At 40.0% G+C, this 19,796-nt stretch overlaps 1 annotated feature.

The window, feature by feature from the left end:
- Positions 13,035–13,134: an enhancer, noted in NCBI's record as "active region_13176". NCBI's record gives its function as "activates an Ori minimal core promoter by ATAC-STARR-seq in GM12878 lymphoblastoid cells {active_cell/tissue: GM12878}" and the evidence as "EXISTENCE:reporter gene assay evidence [ECO:0000049][PMID:35858748]".

Raw genomic sequence — 19,796 nt, 5'->3', positions numbered from 1 at the left:
AAGAATTGCTTGGACTCAGGAGGTAGAGGTTTCAGTGAGCTGAGATCGCACCACTGCACTCCAGCCTGGGTGACAGAAAGAGACTCTGTCATAAATAAATAAATAAATAAAATAAAATGCTTTTGATAAAAGTGTCTGCATAGCAAAAGAAGCAATCAACAGAGTGTACACAAAACATGTTGAATGGGAGAAAACATTTGCAAATTATTCATCTGACAAAGGACTAATAGCCAGAATATACAAGAAACTCAAACAACTCAACAGTGTAAAAAACCAAATAATCTCATTAAAAAGTAGGCAAAGGACAGGAATAGACATTTCTGAAAAAAAGACATACCAATGGCCAACAGGTATATATGAAAGAATCCTCAACATCACCAGTCATCAGGGAAATGCAAATCAAAACCACAGTGAGATATCACCTTATCCCAATTAGAAAGGCTGTTATTAAAAAGACAAAAAATAACAGATGCTGGCAAGGATGTGGAGTAAAGCAAACTCTTACATACTGTTGGTGGGAATGTAAATTAATACAGTCACCATGGAAAACAGTGTGGAGATTTCTTAAAAAACTAAAAATAGGCTGGGTGCAGTGGCTCACGCCTGTAATTCCAACACTTTGAGAGGCCGAGGTGGGCCGATCACCTGCGGTCAGGAGTTTGAGACCAGCCTGGCCAACATGGTGAAACCCTGTCTCTACTAAAAACACAAAAATTAGCCAGGCATGGTGGCAGGTGCCTGTAATCCCAGCTACTTGGGAGGCTGAGGCAAGAGAATTGCTTGAACCCGGGAGGCGAAAGTTGCAGTGAGCTGAGATTGCCCCACTGCACTCCGGCCTGGGCAACAAAGTGAGGCTTGGCCTCAAAAAACAGAAAACAAAAACTGAAACTGAAAATAGAACTACCATACAATCCAGCAATTCTACTACTGGGCATTTATCCAAAGGAAGAGAAATCAGTCTATCAAAAGGATGTCTGCACTTGCATGTTTATTGCAGCACTGTTCACAATAGCAAAGATACAGAATTAACCTAAGTGTCCATCAATGGATGAATGGAAGAAGAAAATGTGGTATACATACACCATGGAATATTATTCAGCCATAAAAAAGAACAAAATTATGCCATTTGCAGCAACATGGATGGAACTGGAGGTAATTATGTTAAGTGAAATAAAGCAGGAACAGAAAGACAAATGTCGCATGTTCTCACTTCTGGGAGCTAAAAGTTGATTTCATGCAGGTAGAGAGTAGAATGATAGACACCATAGCCTAGGAAAATTGTGTAGGCAGGTGGGGGGAAATGAAGAGAGGTTGGTCAATGGGTACAAACACACAATTAGATAGAAGATATAAGTTCTAAAGTTAGATAGCAGAGTAAGGTGACTATAGTTAGCAATAACATGTTGTATATTTCAAAGTAGCTAGGAGAGAGAACTTGAAATGTCCCCAGCATGTAGAAATAATAAATACTCAAGATGATGGATGCCCCAAATAACCTGACTTGATCATTGCCCATTCTATGCATGTAACAAAATATCACTTGTATCTCATATATATGTATAATATTATGTATCAATAAAAAGCCTTTTAATATGCTATTTAATGAAAAGAAGATACACAATTTTTTATGTGCCCTATAACAACTGCATAATAAACATTAATTCAAATTAAAAATATTAGAAATACACAAAAATGTTAGTAACTGTTTTGAGGAATAACATCATGGGACTGTCTTCTCTTCATTACTCAAAACATCCAAAATATTTTACTACATATACTTATTTAATTTATTTAGCATTTTATTCAAAATGAACTTTCCATGTTTATTAAGAAATAGTTTTATACAACCCCGAAATTAGTAATATGTCATGTTTCAGACACTAAAAAAATGTGCTTCAGCAACATTTTCTGTTAGTGTAAAGGGAAATTTTACAATTTCTTCTTATGAAAGAGTAATATAAGACTGCAAGAGCCGAGAAGTAATTTAAGTATGTTCAGGGACCATTTTCATCTTCAGAATTAAGGATTATTTTAATTTTACATCATTGCCTTTTCTCTTTTACTTTCCTTTTTAGTTTTATCATTTTAGGGTTCCCTATTTTTAATTTTCATACAGAGATTTCTTTAATTGATCATTATAATTAAGCATAAAGTCCTAAGTTAGGAAATCATATTTTACTGGATCCTAGCGTTCTAAATTATTCATTCCGCTTACTGCTCTTAATTTGGTTTATCTGAAAATTCCCAGTTTATTGTTTTTGTTTTTTATTTCATACAAATAAGATGGCAGAAAAAAGGAAGGACATTATAAAGTAGATCTTAAGGTTTGTTGATCTTAAAGTTTATGTTGTTTGATGCTCTTATGTGCTTACCAGACATCAATTTTCTCCCAGAAGCCCTTGATTTCATTTTCTATAAACTCTGTTGTACTCAATATATTCCAGCAAATCTTCATTGTTTCTTCTTGGACCTTAACTTCTTAAGTAAAGCCATTTATTGATATACTACTTTTTTTCAGTGAGCTAGCAAATCAATAAATGAAAGATTAGTTCAGCGTGTCAGCTTTCCCTAAGCATTTGGGGAGTCATTTACTCCTTTGGCTGACGAGGAGGAGGCCAGGTGGCAGCCTTACACAGCAATAATGGGTTTCCCTGTCAAACATTTCTAGGTGTTACCTCTCATAGTAATTATTGAGTTTCACGCTGTTTTAGATGAGAAAATTGGGTGTGGGTTTTAACTTTATGTGTACTAGCAGTGCTAGTTAAACAATTATTTTCAGTACATCCCGTTTTATGTTGTTCTACCAGGCTTAGATCCAGGGTTAGGAAGATTCCTTAGAGAGATATTTTGTTCATTACATTAAAAAAGCCCGCTTCCATGGCCTGACATAGCATGCATATATATATATATATTAGGTTGCACATTTCCATAAGCTAATCCTATTCATACGACTATGTGGGTGGGATATATTAGCACTATGCTGGATTTTATCAATCTTATCTCCTGGAATCGGTACAGTCTATTTACTCTGATATTGTTCTGTTCACTCCTGCTAGCTCTTACCCAGCTTTCATTCCGCAGAGGTCCGTTCAGGGATCTGAGCTGTTTACTCTTTAGATCTTCCCGCGAGCATCACAGTCATCACAGAACACTCTCTCCTCAATTGAGAGTTTACAATTCAAAACCTCATTACGTTTTATAGAACCATATTTGGAATCTTTATCCCCAACTGTTTGAAATTATCTTTATTTTTACTTAAGAGCATTTAGATATCCAATCAGAAACATTTCGTGTGGATGAAAAGGAACAGACTAGCCACAGGAACTGAGGGTCTGGGAGTCACGTTAGAACAGTGGCTCAATGATCAAATTTAATATGTTGATGGCTAGTTTGGCCTGACAGGTTTACGAAAGACATCATGGGAATATGTTTAACTCTAATAATGCTGTTAATTTACTAGTTTAGAGAACATGGTCAGAACAAGTCCTATTCCCAAAAGACAGAAAGTCAAAATAATAGGAAACCCACTGTTGGTAAGTGGGAAAATATGCGCTTTGATACACTGCTGGTGGGAATTTAAATTGGTATAATCTTTCTGAAAGGCAATTTTGCAAAATATAGAAAGTTTTAATAATTGCTTAATCCCAATGACTCAGCAATTTGATTTACAAGATTTTACCCTAAGGAAATAATTCTGGATTTAAGTAAAGATAAAAGGATGTTCAATACAATTTGACTAATGATAATGAATATTGGAAACAACTTAAATATCCAAAAATAGGGGATGATTGAATAACAAGGTACATCAATCCTATGGCATATTATGCTTTTTTTGAAAATCATGCTTGGAATAATCTTTATTGATATGGAAAAATATGTCTGACATATGAAAAAAATCTTTATATAAAATAAAGTATACACAGTATACTATTTTGGAGGAAAAAAACAACATGTACTTATGCATAGAAAACCAGATAAGAAATACAAATATCAAAATGATAACAGCATTTATCTCTGGGTAGAGGCTTATGAATGATTTAAATTTTCTTTCTTTTGGCCAGGAGTGGTGGCTCATGCCTATAATCCCAGCACTTTGGGAGGCTGAGGCAGGCAGATCGCTTGAGCTCAGGAGTTTGAGACCAGCCTGGGCAACATGGTGAATCCCCGTCTCTACTAAAAATACAAAAATTTAGCTGGGCGTGGTGGCATACATCTGTGGTCCCAGGTAGTTGGGAGGCAGAGGTGGGAGGATAGTTTGAGCCCAGGAGGCAGAGGTTGTAGTGAGTGGAGATGGTGCCACTGCATTCCAGCCTGGATGACAGAATGAGACTCTGTCTCAAAGATATATATATTTTTTCTTTTTTGTGTTTTCCTTTCCTTTTAAAATTTTGTACGTGTTTAAAATAATGTACTTGTATTCTATTTTTGATTAGGTGATGGGAATCAGAAGAGTAAACTTTGCTCATCCACTGTATATAGTACATATATATATATATGTGTATATATATATACACATACATACATACATACACACATTCATTACAAGAATTCCCATTAAGAAGGAGACATTAACATTTGCAAAGGAGCTCATGCAGGCTGCTAAAATGTGATGTGTATATGTGTGTGCAGAACCAGTGGTCTGAAAACCCAATGATCTTTATGTAAAAAGGCATAAACAGAATTAATAACCCGTATAATTTTTCTCTTTGCACAGATAGATTGACTTAAATATTTCTTAAAAGCAGAATTGTGGGGTTGGTAAAACAAACAATGTAATGCAATGCTGTACTTTAGATCTCCCCAGTTTAGTCCACCTAAGTCTGTCCCACCCAACCTCTCACTGAGAAGGGCTGTCCAGAATTCTGGGCATGCCTGTGTGTGTATGTGGTCTGTGGGGACACAGGGTGCCTTCAGGGATATGAGCTGGAAGAAATTTGGAAGAATTGATGCTGCTCCTTTAAGTGTTTGTGGGTTGGGTTCAGTTGCAGAGCGCTGTGTTCCAGTAGTGGAGAGTGAGCAGGAGAACTAGGCTAACACTGCCCCACTGCAGTACATAAAATAAAAACAAATAAGACAATCACGAAAGTCATCAGAATCTATTTTTTCTATTTTGGTTCTGTAACAAGGGATTATTAACCCAGATAAGAGAGCATGTCTGTATTTCTCTCCTATCAGCTCTTTTCCCCTAGGACACACTGGGTGACTTTCCTAAGAGGTCAAACAGGGTAAAATACTCTCCCCTATCCCCAGCCTAGCCTTTATTTCACTTGGTAAACCTATTATCATTGAATGGTGAGCTGAACAGGCTACTCGCCTGGCTGCTTTGTGAGCTGTGGCATTGGGGCCGATTCCGTTCATAAGCACCTATTTTCAAATCTGGTTCATTTACAGGAATTAGGATTAACCTTCTAACAGGCAGAGCTGAGAGGCCTGGTGATAACTTCAAGAGCTTGTAGCCCTCTTTGTAGCCCTCTCCTCAGTCTGAGTCTTTCACAATATAACCTTGCTCAGTGGTCTACGGGGAGGTGTCCTTTCGGAAGTGGTAGCAACTGGAGATTTTCTAGGGACAAGCCCTCTCCTCAAAGCGTTCACTCCAGAAATTCAACAGCAAATTTACTTCATTTCAGAGATTTGTGTCTCTTTCAGTGAAACATTTGGGGTCACTTTTTTAGGAATTTATTTGAAACCATTTGCATAATGTGCTAAATTTTGCTTACTCATTCTAATTCTCCTCTACTTGACTAATTAAAATTCCGTCAAGAATTATACCAGTTTGGCCAAGGATAGATGAACAGAGACAGCCTATGCTTTATTCCTTTTTTGGTACATAAACATCCTTTCTCATTCTTCCTATTACTTCCACAGACCTAGCTGAATCCATCAGGCCCACAGCTGGGAAATCCCTCCTACCCTTTCTGAGGGTCACCTACAAGTGCCAGTCTTTGACAAGAGGGGCTAGGGTCCAGCCCAGAACTCATTTTATCATCAGGAACATTTGCAACCATTCGGCCACAGAGGCAATCAGGTGTACAGAAATATGGTCCTGGACTGTGCTTCAGGTCACTTTGGGGGAGGTTTCTCATCACTATATACTGGACAACTGTGTTTCACTTTTTAGATTTCTGACCCCGATTGGAGTTTCCAGTTTTTGTCTCCTTTGTCATTTTTTCCTCAACATCTTGATGTCTTGCCTGATTCTGTGGTGGTATGCTTTCGGAGTGCTGGAAAACCAAGGCATTTGTTCTCTTCTTCTTGCTTCTTCTTTTTTAATTTTTTTTTTGAGGTAGAGTCTTGCTGTGTTGACCAGGCTGGAGTGCAGTGGCATGATCTCTGCCTCCTGGGTTCAAGTGATTCTCATGCCTCATCCTCCTGAGTAGCTGGGATTACAGGCACGCGCCACCATGCCCGGCTAATTTTTGTATTTTTAGTAGAGACGGGGCTTCACCATGTTGGCCAGCCTGGCCTTGAACTCCTGACCTCACGCAATCCACCCTCCTTGGCCTCCCAAAGTGCTGGGATTACAGGTGTGAGTCACCATGCCTGGCCTCTTCTTGCTTCTTATAAAGGACTTCCTAGATTATAAATTCTTACTTTATCAGCAGATTCATTTGTTCCCCATTGTCTCTTAAAACTTCCCCTGTCCTCTGGCTCCTTCCCTAAGGCTCCTTCCCCACACACTCCCAGATCCACGCTATCTTAAAAAAGTCTGTCCTTGGACAAGACACAGCTGTCCCTCAATATAGCCCATGATGGGCCTATTTCTGAAAGAGTTTTCTGCCCTGGCTTTTGTCTCCTTCCTGCCTCTCATTTGCTCTTCCAAATAGACAGCATTCTGGCTCTTGCTCCTGCAAAACAACTGAACTGCTCACATTTGATTCACCAAGTGCTCCCAATTGCCCATTTTCAGTTTCCATCCTGTGTACCTCGCTGTAGCATCTGGTGCTGTTGCTCACTCTCTGTTTCATGAACCTTTACTTTCTGGTGTCTGAGACATCATTTTCTTCCAGTTCAACGTTTCTGACCACTGTCTCCTCCTTCAATTTGATATTCTCTGGTGTGGTCTCTTTGATCTTATTCTCTTGTCACTCTAGTGGTCCCTATTGGCTATAACCTTTTAATGGCTTCATGTTACCCAGAAGTGAAGTCCAAACTCCTTCAGCTGATGTTCAGGGACCTTCATGAGTCGGTCCCAAGCCATATTTCTCACCACAGCCCTGTAACTATGCTGCATTTAATTTAGCCCGTCTGCCAGCAGTTATGCTAACATTCTTGAGTGTATCTGCCTCTGCACCTTCCTTCACCCATGACATTTTCCAGCACCAGTTATGGCTCAACAAATATACACTGAGTAACTGAATGAAATATCTGCTCAGCTGCCTACCAGAATTCTTTTCACTCTTCTTGGTCTAGTTCTTATTCTATCACTTCCATGAATTCTTTCCTGATCCTTGCCCTGGAAGCCACCTCTCCTCCTTTGAGCTCCTGTGGTACTTCTTTAATTCTATTAGTCCTATGCTACTTTATACATTTTAATAGCCTTTCCAATGCCCATCCCAGTACCTTATACCTACCAGGTGCTAAAGTGGATGAAATACTTAGTACGGTCTTTTTATATTTATTTATTTATTTATTTATTTATTTATATTATTTTTGAGACAGAGTTTCGCTGTTTCACCCAGGCTGGAGTGCAGTGGCGCGATCTCAGCTAACTGCAACCTCCACTTCCCAGGTTCAGGCGATTCTCCTGCCTCAGCCTCCCGAGTAGCTGGGATTACAGGCACCTGCCACCATTCCCGGCTAATTTTTGTATTTTTACTAGAGACGGGGTTTTGCCATGTTGGCCAGGCTGGTCTCAAATTTTTGACCTCAGATGATCCACCCGCCTCGGCCTCCCAAGGTGCTAGGATTACAGGTGTGAGCCACCACGCCCAGCCAGTACAGTCTTTTTAAAAACTATGTAACATGGAGCCCTTGGGTTATAAAGTTTGTGCCCAAACAAAAAAAAGTCAAACAAAAAGTTAAAAACTCTACTTAGGAAGTAGTAGTTAACACTAATAATACTATATTTAATGAAATTTAAAAAGTAGAGCTATTTCTGTTTCCTTTATATACCATAGAAATGTTCCTAGAAGCTGCATAGATCAATATAGATCTTACAATATAGAGGTATCAAAGTAAAATCAAATAAGGTTGCTTTTCAATATAGTAGTCCCCTCTTAACTGAAGAGGGTATGTTCCAAGATCCCCAGTGGATGCCCAAACCCTATATACACAGGTTGAGTATTCCTTATCCAAAATTCTTGGGAACAGAAGTGTTTTGAATTTGGATTTTTTAATTTTGGAATATTTGCATTGTATTTACACGTTTGGAATTCCCAGCCCGAAAATCTGAAGTCCAAATTGTTTCAATGAGCATTTCCTTTGGGCATCATATCAGTGTTCACAGTTTCAGATTTTAGAGCATTTTGGATTTCAGATTAGGGATATTCAACCTTTGCTATGTTTTCTCCTACACATACACACCTATGATAAAGTTTAATTTATAAATTAAGAACAGTAAGATATTAACTGCAATAGCTAATAATAAAATAGAACAATTATAATAGTCTACTGTAATAAATGTTATATGAATGTAGTGTCTCTCTCTCAAAATATCTTATTGTACTGTTCAAGTAACTCTTATGTTACTTAACAGAGGCCCCAAAGTGCAAGAGTAGTGATGTAATATTTTTGGACCACATTTGACCGTGGGTCACTGAACCCTTGAAAATTAAAACTGTGGTTAAGGCCGAGAGCAGTGGCTCACCCCAGTAGTTTGGGAGCCCAAGGTGGGAGGATTGCTTGAGCCCAGGAGTTTGAGACCAGTCTGGGTAATATAGGGAGACTGTCTCTACAAAAAAATTAAAAAGTTAGCTGTGCATGGTTGCATGCGTGTGTAGTCCCAGCTACTAAAGGAGGCTGAGGTGGGAGGATTGCTTGAGCCCAAGAGGCTGAGGCTACAGTGAACCATGATAGCGCCACTGCACTCCAGCCTGGGTGACACAGCAAGATCCTGTCTCAAAAAACAAAACAAAAAACTGCAGTGAGAAGGGGACTAGTGTATAATCTGTCATTTCAACAATGTCCGTAATAATTTATCATTTCTAACTCATCAATGGGCTACTCTAACGTATTTGGCTATTGAAGCCCTAATATAGGTAAAGATATTATAGCAAGAATAAGTATTAAAGGTCATATTTAACTCCTATGTAATAAGCATGGTTATTAAAAGATGTTACCAATTTCAGGATCATTTGATCCTGTCTCATAATGTGTGTAATCGTGGCTTATGGTGACCTAATTTACCTTGACCAAATGAACATGACAGCTATTGAACAGTTTTTTTGCCTCTTAGCAGTGAATTACACTCCTGAAAGTTGGAGTTAACTGGATTTTCAATGTACGGCTGATTGGTCTGTGACTTGGTTGAAGCCATGGGTGCGCTCTTATGTATGTATGAAAAGTGGGGTCTTCTGTCTGCAATAGTAGACCTGGAGTGAATAAAAGACAATTTTGAAAGTATGCTGTTAGGAAGAAATTGAGAAGATGTTTTTAAACCTTGGATTTTAGCTACATTTATGATGGCCACTAATGCAGGAAAACCTGCTAATGAGTAGGCCACTTGTGTAATTTTTTCTTTGTACTTAAAGTAAAATGTAAAATGTCAGGCAACTATCCATGACTTACTCTAGGGAAAGGGAACAGCTAATGATTAGTCTTCTGTTTACAATTAAAATCTGATTTCTTTTCCTAATTTTGGTTGACTTGCTATTGGTCCTCTGGACTCCTAATAGGCCTTGTGGATTCTAAATAGATTCTGCTTTGACTCCCAATTACCACGCAATTAACGGACCTCCAAATGCTGCCCTTTAATTTTGTTTATGTTCCTTTTCTTTACGCTTTTATTCTGTAATCTACTTTTAGTTACCATATCAGTTCTTCATAATTTCCTATCTGTTTTTTAATGATATACCACCGCGATTTTCCAATATGGCTCTTCTTTATGTAAGAAAAGACTTAAGAAAATCACCAAAATGCTTGCATAAACTTTTTTGGAAATGAGTTGTATGACAATGAATTAAATAAAAAAAGAACTGGTTTAAGAATATGTGTTTATCTCCAGACCTGGAATGAAGAGATGCCTAACTTGATTATTTTGTGCTTAGCTTCCTAGGTTTAACTGAAGACTTAGACCTTTTGTTTGTGTTCTAAGCTGAGGTCCCATGGTACACATTCTCCGGAGTCTGTGCATGAACTTAATATGCTGTTTAATAATGGAATATCAAGCTCTATCCTTTCACCATTAAGGACACAGTCCTGAGGTTATTTACACAGAAACCCTCCCTTGAAGAGCCAGATACTTTGAGCCTTCCTGGGTGATGGTTAACTAAGCTGGTAATGGGAGAAAATTAGGGGAGACTCCTCATGGCAAGCAGGCCACGAAAATACATTTTAACAGTGGCCTTTAAAGGGCCATGTCCTAAACCGTAAAAGAATTACTCAAATAGTGTCTAATTAAGACTTTTTTTCTGAAAGCAGCCTTAAAAGCAGCTTCAGTATTGGGGATTTCAGGAGGGTAGAACAGTTGGGATCTAGCAGGGCCTCTCCAATCACATTTGGTCTCTTCTGGCCCCATGGAGTGGTGGCCCTAGACCCAAAGATCTTCAAAGGTCTGAAAGTCTATGGGAAGAAGCCTTGATACGAAGCTCTTAATGAAGATCAGTTCAGCATAGTAAGCAGTAATCACCATCAGACCTTGCAAAAAGTGCTGAGTTACTTTTCCTTCTGCTTTCTCTTGATGATTCAGGAGAGTAGAGGGGAAAAGTCACTGATATGGGTTACCCCAAACCATAAATAATTGAAAGTATATGTAATGCAAATTCAAATTCATTTCATTTGGTAACAACCCCACTTAAACAGCCCATTCAACTATGTGTGCCAGTAAATGGAGTGGAATTGGAATTGACAAGAGGAGTTTCTCTTGACTGTGCTTGAATATGCCAACTGAGTTGCAGAAATGCTTTCTAGTGCAAAACAAAGAAATTGGCAAACGAAGCCAGTCATTTTGAGATACTTCACTTCTTCCTTGTCTTCCTGATGAAGCACCTAATGAAATGTTAAGCGCTCTGAAGAGCTGTAGGCAGAAGAATGGCTAAGTGGAATAATGGACAGAGAGGTGGTTGCGTAAAAATGGGTCCAGGCTTATGGGTGAAAGTGTAAAGCAAACTTCCAGGCTGGGGTTAAACAAAGAGTACTAAGGATGGGAGAATAAAGGACAATAGCCTGCAGGGAAGGCATCTTTCTTTCAATCACTGTCGTCATCTGAGATTTAAGAACATTGCAATTTTAAATCAGGTAATAGCAGATGCAACGTGGTGGTGTTTAAAAATATTAACCGAAGTTTTTTCTCTCTCTCCTACCATTAGTATCTTCTTTCCCTCTTCTGCCCCACTCCATTAAAGTAATTTCTCTAGGTCATTGCCTCAAGGAAGTGATGTGAAAAGGTGTCCAAGAGAAAGAGGAAGTCGCTTTGGTTTGCAAAATCTAAGCCTCAGATAGAACTGAGATTTGGGATAGAGGTTAAGAATTTGGTGGAATAGGATTTGAGGAGAGGTTTCTCTTGGAGTAAGAGACAACTCCCTTGGGCCAGGGAGTGGAGGGGATGGCTAGGGGAAGGGAGGAGAGCAGAGCTGTTGGTGGGTGCTGGAGGGGGGCTCTGTGCCCCCACTTCGGGGGCAGTACCAGGAGAGGTGGCTAGAGTGCTAGCCTGAACAGACCACGAACAAGATGGCACCCAAACAGCAAGGGGTTCCTGTGCCCCCACAAGTGCTGTGGCATCTGTGGAGACACAAGTGGGCCCAGGGTGGGGGGATGGGAGGTAGGAAGGAATGAAGAATGAACACTTCATGGCCTCCTATAGTGACCAAACATTTTAGCACTTTGTGAGGCCCCCCTCAGAACTTACACATAATCCTGGGGATTCCAACCTGGGGATTCCAAATTTACGAGGACTGCACTCCTACCACCCTACAATAATGTGGTTTTAATACAGGCATTAAGTGAATTAGTGTAAAAACAGCTAATGAATGAAAATAAAGAGGTACAAACCACGATTTGTACTTGTCCAGGGTGGAGCTGGATCCAGGATTTCTTTTTCCTGCTTTTTTTTTTTTTTTTGAGACTGAGTCTTGTTCTGTCATTCATGCTGGAGTGCAGTGGCACGATCTAGGCTCACTGCAACCTCTGCCTCCTGGGTTCAAGCAATTCTCCTGCTGAGACTATAGGGGCGTGCCGCCATGCCCAGTTAATTTTTTTGTATTTTTAGGAGAGACAGGGTTTAGCCATGTTGGCCAGGCTGGTCTCAAACTCCTGGCCTCAAGTGATCCGCCTGCCTTGGCCTCTCAAAATGCTGGGATTACAGGTGTAAGCCACCGTGCCGGCCTCCCAGAGGAATCCTTATGGTTTGCTGCCTGTAGGAAGAGACAGGTCAGTTAGCCCTTTCTGAAACTACAGTTTCTCCAACGTTTGTAACTTGAAATAATCAGTATACCAATTCAACACATTTTGGGATGGGACGTCCTTCACTCCTTCACTCTCCTCAGACATTTCGGATGTGCAGGTGGAATCTCGCTTGCCCCAGCTGGCCTGACACTCAAACAGGCACACACCTTGCTGCAGTGGCCTAGGGCACTTGCTGAGGGTGGGGGACTGTGCCTTGGAGTCGGAGAGACAGACACTGAAGCAGGAGTGTGCGGAACACTGCCCAGGCTCAGAAGGACAATGTTTTGAAGAGCGTTGCAAGAGTTTAGGGAAACACAAATTTCCTTCCTTTTGCTTTTCTTGTAGGAAGAAAAAAGTGAACTTTTCATGGCATATTCTAGAGCACCGCCACTGGCACTGACCAAACTAAGGTAGAATCGGGGTGGTCTTGGGAAAGGAGAGACAGATCATAGCATGTGGTCTCTTGATTCCTGAGAATGGAAGATCAGGTGACAATTCTCCACCTCCTGCATAAGGTGCTCACCCAGCCTCAACTGAGGAGGAAGAGAGCAGACTGGAGATCTGAACAAGGGAACTCGCTGCCTTCATGGCTACCATCTTGAAGCCAGGCACTGACGGGGTGTCCATTTTACCTTCGCACAAAATTCACTTTAGTCTGGTGCCAGACTCCCTCTGGTGGATGGGGCAGTAAATGCAGAAAGGAGAAGCTGACGGGCTCCTAGATAAGCCATCCCCAGATAACTGAGGCAAGAAACTGGCTCTGCAAAAGGGCTTCCCTACTTGAGCCTGGGGAAGCTAGCACCCACCGTACCATGGAGTATTTTGCTAGAGAGTTACTGTTCCAAAAAACTGAATTTGGGGCAGAGACCCAGTTTGCTGGGGACATGTAGAGGAAGAGTAAGTTTCTTTTGCAGGAATGCTCAGATCTACCAGAATAACAAATGTGGTAGAAGATAATTTTGCATTGATGTTTGTTTCTCTCTCCATAATTCTCACTCTGGCAGCCCTCGCCATCTGCCGTAGACTCTGGTCTCTGGTTTTTGTGTTTCCAAGGCAGAAATCTGGGCTATAGCTATCACGAGTAAAGTCTTTATGATAGAAGCATACCCCTGAAGGACAAAGATGAAGAGGGGGAGAATTTCTTTCAAAGGTCAGTAAAGGATCCTCATGGGCTGGTTTTGGAGAAGGAGAGTAAAAAAAAAAAGAAAGTCCAATTTATTTGGGGAGGGGCCGTCCTGAGAGATTTGAAAGAGAAGAATGAAGGATGCCCTTATTTTTAACATGTTTCCTGGGATATGTCAAAGGGAAGCCAGACGCTGATGTGAAGTCCACTGAGGCTTACCTTGGCACAACATTCAGTTTTGTCTGTGGTCAGACCTCCGCTGGCAGCTTGAGCATCTTTGGGTTCAAGTTTTCAGGATTTGCATTGGGCCCAGACTGGCAATGACCGTGTCTCTGTGCACTCTTCCTGGTCTTGCGGTGTTTCAGAATTTCCTTACCGTTTTGTTCCCCTTTGTTTTCTACCACTTAGTTGCAAGGTTCTGAGCAGGACCAAAAGGATGCTGCAAAGTGCCTGGGCTCCCCTAACTCTTTCCACTTGCTTACCATTATTTGACATCCAAAGAGCAATTATTAAGGGCCTCCTCGTACACCAGGCATGTGTTTGGTGCTAGAAATCAGATGGGAGTGCCCTCACTGTTGCTGATGGAGAAGACAGTCAGGAAAACTGAAAAATCACAGTACAGTCTGACAGGTGCTGCCAGTGATGTGTACACTGGGGGCAAAAGGGGCATATGAGTGAGCTTTTGGGGATCTGCGGGACTTCCCATCTGGAGAAGCTTCCCTACTGCTTTGGTTTTTTTTTTAAGAGGTGAATTTTGCAAGAGAATCATAGAGATATTGACTCCGCAAGTTGACATCTGCGAGAGGCTGAATCAATTCCTAGAACTTCCTATCAGACTTCTTGTCATTTGAAGTAATTAAATGTATTTATTACTTAGACAATGTTATCATTTCTATAGCTTTTAGCCAAAAGCAATCCTGACTGATACAATGTTCTTTGTCATTTTCAGTATTAAATCATGTTGAGGAAAAGTTGAGATTCACATTGTTTTGGCTATACTTACTATTTCTTTTTTTACTTGCATTGTAATTTATGCAAGGAGAAAAAGTGGTGGTTTTCCAACTCCAAGAAAACTGGAACACACTTTCTGTCTCTCTCTCCCCTCTCTTTCTGCCTTCCTTTCTTCCTTTTTTCCTAGTTGAATTATTTAAAATAACGTCGGCAAAGTAAAAATCAATGGGTTAAATATTAACTTGTTGAATTAATTAAAATTCATTTTCATATGCTAAATAAACAATGAATAACACTTTCCATACCAAACAAATAAGCATACTTATTAATCTCAAGGTTAAAGATTATGTGCCTATAAAGTATTATTTATAAAGTAGAACCTCACCAGAGAGCTTCTGGCAAATGATCTACCCAGGGCTCAATGTCATCGTGACAAAATACTGATTAAGTGTAAAGATTATAAGAAAAAACCTTCACTCCAGCCTGGGTAGTATTTATATTCTTGGTTCCTTTGAGGTATCTGAGTTTTCAGTATCTTGAGGTTTCTTCCTTATCTTTATAAATAAAATGTGAAAGACTTGTTCAGTGGTTTTTCTCAATATTTTCTTTATAGTCCTGCTGTTAAAAATCTGTAGCTAGGCCCAGTGGTGTGCACTCTCAGCTACTTGGGAAGTGGAGGCCAGAGGATTGCTTGAGCCCAGGAGTTGAAGACCAGCCTGGGCAACATAGCAAGACCCCAGCGCTTAAAAAAATTAAAAAAAAAAAAAAACAAACAAAACCTTATGATCTCTGATTTTCACTTTAATTTTAATTGAGGCTAAATTAAGGAAATTTGGGCTTATACTTTTTTTGTGGTTTACTGGTAGTCTTCTTTTTCTTAGTGATTTACCAGGGGGCTTTATATTAATATATTAATATGCTAACTTTTTGTCATTTATGCTGCAAACATTTTCTTCTATATGTTGTTTGTAAATCACCTTGCAGTGATCTTTTTTGTTTTAGAGAATTTTTGTGTTGTACAATGTACAGTCTTTGATTTGATCATTTCTGGCTTTTGTATACATTTAAAGAGGCTTCCTTCAAAACTGGAATTATAAAAATAGTTACCTATGTTTTCTTTTATTATTTTCAAGGCTTCATAATAATTTTTAAGTCTGATTTATGTGGAATTTATTTTAGTATAATAAATAAGTTAGGAATTCAAGCTTATTTATTTGGGACATAGCTACCCTATCGTTTTAGTAAAATTTAGTAAAATTGAGTTTTCCTTTCACCACTGCTTTAAAATGCCACCTTAATCGTCTACTAAATTTTTATGTCTGCTTGCCTCACACGATGGCCTGTTAGCTCAATTGGTTAGAGTGTGGTGCCAATATCTCCTTGCCTCTATTTGTGGAGTTTCTATTGGATTAACTCATCTGTTGGTCTATATACCTGTGCCACTAGCTCACTTTAAGAATGACTACAGCTTGGCCGGGCATGGTGGCTCCCGCCTGTAATCCCAGGATTTTGGGAGGCTGAGGCAGGCGGATCACCTGAGGTCAGGAGTTTGAGACCAGCCTGGCCAACAGAGCGAAACCCTGTCTCTAGAAAAAATACAAAAATTAGCTGGGTGTGGTGGCAGGCACCTCTAATCCCACCTACTCGGGAGGCTAAGGCAGGAGAATCCCTTGAACCTGGGAGTTGGAGGGTGCAGTGAGCTGAGATTGCGCCATTGCACTCCAGCCTGGGCAACAGAACGAGAATCCATCTCAGGAAAAAAAAAATGACTACAGCTCTAAGTACATTGTAATAATTGGTAGCACAAGTTCTTACACTTTCCAAGAATGTCTGGCTCTTCTTTCATTTTCGTTCTTTCAGATGGATTTTTAAAACAGTACTATCACCAGCCAGGCATTTGATTTGTTTATTATTTTTTTTTCTGTATTGATGTTTTAAGAAAATAAATTATAAACATAACATAAGCTTGCTATAACAAATTCAAACAATACAAACCAGTGGAAAATAAGCCTCGAACCACCTTCCCAAAACCCCACCCTTAACAGCACATTCCAGCCATCGCTCCTGCCAGCTGTTTGTTTAGGATTCTTTTGGACTTTCTCTTACTCTTAAGCATAAGCACACTTCATGAAGTGCCCCCAAATCCCAGTGATATTTTGACTGGGATTTCTCAATAAATATTTGTAACAAAATATTTTCATTCACATTTCTGGCTTTCAAGTCGTGTAATGCCTGAGACTTTCAGTTTCTTATATGTACACTGTTACAACACTACTTATCTACAACACAGAAATTGCATGAGACAATGCGTGATAATAAAACACGGTTCAAAAATATCTGATCATGGCATTTCTCAAAGTATGTTCTGTAATACATAGATCCTGCAATATACTCTGCAAAGAAAATAAGAGTTCCCTGGGCAAATGAGTTTGGAACATTAGGTGGTATATTTTCTTTTTTGGATATTTGTAATTCAGGGCAACATATTAGAAACCCTTAGTTCTATAAAAAAGGTTTAACTTTGTCTAACCAATGTTTTCCAAACTTGTTTGATCAGGGAAAGTATTTTGCCTATTGACACGATGCTCATAAAACACCATTTGGGAGATGCTGAGTTAGACAGATTGGATCAGCTCTTGGCTGGGGTGGGGTTGTGAAGAACCTAGAATAACTCCCAGGTCTCTGGCTTTAAGTGAATGATTGGTGATGTCACTGACTGAGGTGAAGGATAGAAGTGGAGGATCAATTTTGGACATATTGAGTTTCAATTCCTCTGGCAGGTTTGAATGGAAATGTTTAGTAAGCTGAGAATATATAGGTCTGGGACTCAGGTGACAGGTCATCACTAGAGAAACGTGGGTTAGAAAGTTTGCTTTGGATTAAAGTGTGTTGTCTAAAACAGCTCAGTTAAAAATGCACATATATTACCTAGGAAGGGTAAGCATTAAATTATTAATACATATTATATTATCATATTAGCTTACTATCATTTTAAAGCAGAGATCAGGCCCCTGAAGGAATGGAAATCAGGAATGGTGAATTTTGAGTGGAAGTCGGCCAAGAAAGAGTCTGAAGTTGTGATTTTTACCTTCTGTGGGCCCTTTTTCAATGCTAAAAAAATTTGCCAATCTCCCCACTGCCCTCACATATTAAACTTTTAATATCTTTTGACTGAGAAAATATGTCCTGACTATAACTACTATGACTTAATGTAGTTATAGTCAGGACATATTGTTCTGTACATAGAGGACATGTAAATGTATGGAATAGGTTCACATTTAGCAGGGTGTTTATCCTGCTTCCGGACAGTCAGCGTTGCTGTCCATATGGACTTCTGATCCTCCTGCCACTCCTGTGGTTCTGTTACTGAGACACCAGGGGTTCAGTCTAGGTCCTGCTGCTCACCACCCAGAAAGCCAATGACTGAGATGATCAGTATTGCCAAGGATGAAGGCTTTAATTTGGTGCTGCAGCCAAGGAGATGGGAGATCAGTCTCAAATCCTCTCCTTGACCGACTAAAAGTAGGGTTTCATACAGGAGGGAGGAAATGAAAACAAGAGCTAGGGAGGGGCAAGGAAGGATGATGATGAAGGAGGGGTCCAGCATCTCATTGTCTGGATGCCGTGATCTGGTGAGTTTCAGGTCTTTGATACTTTTTTTTGACAGGCTTGAAGGTCCTTTCCTGAGGAAAAAACAGATACAACAAATGTAAGGTTCAAGCTTTAAGACCAGCAGGGTCAATTTATATGTTTATCCAAAAAACTATCTGTGGGATTATTGGGTCCTTTTCAGTTCCAGGCTAAGGCAGATTTATAAGATGTCACTTTTAGTTCTGAGTAAACACTGCGATCTCCTGCTTACTCAGGCTCATGTCAAATTCAAACTAGAAGCTGAGGGAGAGAAAGATGATTGTACAGTTGTTAGGTCAGTCATCTGACTATGTTTCAGCCTGGGTTCATTTTAAGTAAGAGAAGATGTGGGTATGTGGGAAGAAGCAAGACTGGACTCTTGGCTTGGATTTATCCCACCACTAATGAGATGACCTCAGAGAAACCTCACTGCCTCTTTTGCCTTAACTCTCAAAATGGGATAATAGCAATAACTTTTCCTCCTTCCTGGGCCTTTGTACCGAAGTCAGTAAACTAAATAGTTGTGCAAGTGAGTAGGAAAGTTAAAAGTGCTCTAAAATGTGAGGTATTTTCATGCCTGCATTTTAATATGGCTACCACTAGGTGCCCCGAAGGTAGCAATTCCCCGGGAGGGAGTTCAATCTTCTAGGTTCACCATAGGGTGGACTCCATTTAACCTGTGTATTCTAGTTGATTAGGTTATTGTGTGTAGATTGCAGGAATTTCAAGCTCTACTCCATCTTTTTCCTTCTGATATAATTTTAACGAGATTCCCTCATTCTTTTATTGCATGGCAGGCTACTACTAGAATAAATATAAAGAAGTTTTAAAAGTGCAGAAAACAAGAGAGCTTGGGAGATGGAAAAATGCACAGGGTGAGGCAGGGGATGAGGGTGGGAAGGCTGTTCTCAGATCTGCACAGGCTCCCAATGACTTTAGAATTCCTGGGGCTCTTCTTTATGAGCCAGGCATTCTGAGAGCTAAGAGAGAAGCCTTGACCAAAGCCACTGAAAGAAATGTCTTTTTAAATTGCTTAAAGAGCACCACCTTCCTCCCAAGAAGCTTCATCACCAGGCCCAGCAATCCAGTGCTTTTTTTTTGTATTGCAGAAGTGAAGTCTGCATGTCCAGACTCTTCCTGTGCAATGGCTGCTAGTATTTCTCTGAGTGGGAAGTTGTGTGGGATACATCAAGCATTTAAAATGATAAGGAAATTCTGGCAGAGTATATTTTCAGTTAGATCAATCTAGGTGATGTGGTTTGCTGTGTCCCCATCCAAATCTCATCTGGAATTGTAGTTCCCATAATCCCCACATGTCGTGGGAGGGACCCAGTGGGAGGTAATTGAATCATGGGGACGGTTACCTCCGTGCTGTTCTTGTGATAGTGAGTGAATTGTCTGGAGATCTGATTTATAAGGGGCTTTTCTCCCACTTCACTCTACGCTTCTCCTTGCTGCCGCCATGTTAAGAAGGATGTATTTGATTCCCCTTCTGCCATGATTGTAAGTTTCCTGAGGCCTCCCCAGCCCTGTGGGAACTGTAAATCATTAA

Source organism: Homo sapiens, chromosome 18 (genome assembly GCF_000001405.40).
Source record: "Homo sapiens chromosome 18, GRCh38.p14 Primary Assembly".
Lineage (NCBI taxonomy): Eukaryota > Metazoa > Chordata > Mammalia > Primates > Hominidae > Homo > Homo sapiens.
The sequence above is the reverse complement of the archived record's forward strand: the minus strand, read 5'-3'. Positions and strand labels throughout refer to the sequence as shown.